At 40.3% G+C, this 3,198-nt stretch overlaps 1 annotated feature.

The window, feature by feature from the left end:
* Positions 1,490–2,689: an enhancer, noted in NCBI's record as "P300/CBP strongly-dependent group 1 enhancer chr1:92047752-92048951 (GRCh37/hg19 assembly coordinates)". NCBI's record gives its function as "activates an origin of replication core promoter dependent on BRD2, BRD4, P300/CBP, MED14 and CDK7 cofactors, with strong dependence on P300/CBP, by STARR-seq in HCT116 cells {active_cell/tissue: HCT116}" and the evidence as "EXISTENCE:reporter gene assay evidence [ECO:0000049][PMID:35650434]".

Consider the following 3,198-nt stretch of genomic DNA (forward strand, 5'->3'; position numbering starts at 1 on the left):
AAAAAAAAAAAAGACAACAAGTGTTGGTGAGGATGTGAGGAAATTGGAACCCTTATACATGTTTGCAAGAATGCAAAATGATGCAGCTGCTATGGAAAACAGCATGGAAGTTCCTCGAAAATTTAAAAATACAACCACTGTAGGATCCAGCAATACCACTTGTGGGTATATATCCAGAAGAATTGAAATGAGGATCTTTAAGGGATATTATTAGCATTCTTGTGTTCACTGCAGCACTAATCACAATAGCTAGGACAAGGAAACTACTTAAATGTCCATTGACAGGTGACTGGATTTTTTAAAATGTGATGTATTTACACAATGGAATACTATTCAGCCTTTAAAATGAAGGAAATTCTGTACTGTGTGACCATATGGATAGACCTTGAGGAAATTATGCTAAATGTAATAAGCCAGACACAGAAAGATAAATACTGCATGGTTCCTTTTGTATGAAGTATCTAAAATAGTCAAATTCATAAAATCAATGACTAGAATAGTGGTCACCAGGGACTAGTGGAGGAGGGGGAAATGGAGAGCTACTAATCAATAGATATAAAGTTTCACTTAGCAACATGAGTAAGCTCTAATCAACCTACAGTCAACAGTAATGTACACTTAAAATTTGTTAAGAAGATAGATAGCATGTTAAGTGGTCTTAAAAATAATTTTCAGATTCAGTTTTGATTGAGAATTACCCACCATTCCTCCAATCTGTAATCTAAGTGCCAGAGGCCCTCATGGAGTAAAGCCTCCAGCTCTCCTTCTTAGAGCTGGTAGCACATTCAATAACTACCTCCCTCAAGGGATTTGAAGTGTGCTAAATTAGGTCTTCATAGATACAAGAAAGCTGAACATTGAGGCCAAATAAATAAAGATGAAAAATCCAACCCTTTCATTCATCAGATGTAGGCAGAGAATGCTTTAGAATTCTCCTTGACTCTTTTTGCTGCATTGTTCCATTTTGGAATGTGTGTACATAAAAATCTCTGATGAAGGTTATAAAAAGAAAAAAAGACATTCTGAATGCAAAATATAGAATATATCTGTTTTTTATGTCAACTCCCTTGGCTCTTGGTTGAACCGGTAAGATTTGCTGTTTCAGACCCTCTGTTGTCTAACCTGAGTCCCATCAGCTGTCTTGACATTCTCAGCTTTGTCACAAGGGGTATCCATGAGAGAAGGTAGATGGATCCACTCAACCAGTCCTGGAAATGAATGTGTGACTGACCGAATGTTATTTTTACTATAGAAAGGGCCCTTTAGAAAACCACTCTGGTTTGCCTGTCTTGAGAAATGACAATGAAATTAGTTGTAATCAGTTGAGGATCACCATGTAGACATATTGATTAATCTATAGCATTATGTTATGGTATCTGGGGAAATTTTACCCTTTCAGAAGACTTTTGGCAAAACAATGGGTGAGGCAAAGTTTTCAGGACAGCAATGGAAAAGGGGGCTGGCTAGTCTGTGGTATGTGAATTTGAAAGCTATATTAGATCTGTTTGGATGCTGTGGGCAGCAAATACTGGAAATACCAACTCGAACTGATTTAAGCAATAAGGAAGTGTATTGTTTCACATAACGGGAAATCCAAAGGCAGGTGGGCTCCAGATGTGATGTGTCAGGGCTGTGTTCCGTCTCTCACTGATTCTCCTTACCTTGCCCAACCCTGTGTCAGGTTTACCCTCACCTGAAAGCAACATGGCTGCCACTTTGGAGCATCATATCCAAACACGGCAACACCTGTAAGAAGATCTGTCTCTTCCTGTTCCTCTTTCTTAGGAGCAAGAAACTGTTTCCCAAAACCTCCCCACAGTAGACTTCCTACTTTTCATGGGGCAGAATTGGGTCACATGACTGTTCCTAAACCAATCAGGGAACTCCCATGGTTGGCTTAAGCAGAACTTGCCCCTGGAGCTGAGCATGGAGCTTATCCCCTGGACCACACTGGGGAGAGACACAGAATCTGGGGCTATCAGGAAGGAAGGAAGAAGGTGAAGGGATGAATCATGAGTTGGCCACGGGAATCTTGGTCCTTACTGAGTCTGATTACAGCATCACCACATGCTTTATCCTATGAGACAACATTCCTCACAGTTTACTCTGCAGTTTCGATTGGATTTTTATGGGAAGCATCATTTTTCTCTGACCTCGTGCTGCAATTTTGTTTCTTTTTTCCTTAGCAGAGACCACAATGGAAATCCTACTATAGAAACACTTGAGTGCTATCAAAGGATCAGACCATATAAGGTGCTAGAGACCTTTTTATTTTAAATAAGAAACAAAACTATTTATACTTTTACAAGGAGTCTGCCCTATTTTAGTAAATATTTGGCAAAGCTTCTTGATTAAAGAGCAAACTGACCCTTGTTCTGCAGGGTTGTTTTGCCATAACTAAAATCGTTCATTAATTTTCTGAAAATAGAAGCAGCAAGTGTGTGTTCTTTTGCACTGTGACTAAAGTAGTGCTTACTTGTGATTTGTTTTAAGCTATATTTACTTAGGCGTAATTGTTCAGGTGTCTTTTAAACCTCAGCTCTCGTCAGACCCCATTCTGAGTTACAATCACCAAATGGTACACTCGGAAAATAATCTCCCATGGATGGAGCTAAGATGCATTAATCTGGCCCTGGAGACTCTGGCGTGTTTGACAATACATTTCAAACTGGGTCTCAGAGGTCCTGCATTTGGTAACAAGTTACAACTGTTTTGACAAATAGCGATTCCCTAGATTATTAAACAGTGCGTAATCTGAGAGAAGCTTGTTGAGCACCATATGTTTCTGATTCATTGGCAGTTAACTCATTGTGTGACGTTGGGCTTGTGGGAAACACTCCAGACCTGATCACCTTTCTTCTTTAAAAGCATCCTCTTGCCAGCTGAACTGGGTGTGGTGCAGCTGCAAAGAGTGGTGTTAAATTAGTCTCATAAACTTCTGCAGGACAGCCATATTGGGAGTTATCCCACGATGCCACACAGTAGACTGGGTTGTGGCTGGCCGGCAGGCAGGTGCAGGATGTGGTCCCGGGGCTTGTCATCTGTCCCATTCATGTAAAATGTGCCTCTGCCTCCAATCTCCTTCCCCCATCCTCTGGCCTTGGCTGACAGTTTCTGATCCTAAATCAAAGATGCTCAGAAGAAAAGCCATCAGTAGATATCAAGCAAAGGATTTAGAAATATTTAGAATGCTAAAAT

Source organism: Homo sapiens, chromosome 1, assembly GCF_000001405.40.
Source record: "Homo sapiens chromosome 1, GRCh38.p14 Primary Assembly".
NCBI lineage: Eukaryota > Metazoa > Chordata > Mammalia > Primates > Hominidae > Homo > Homo sapiens.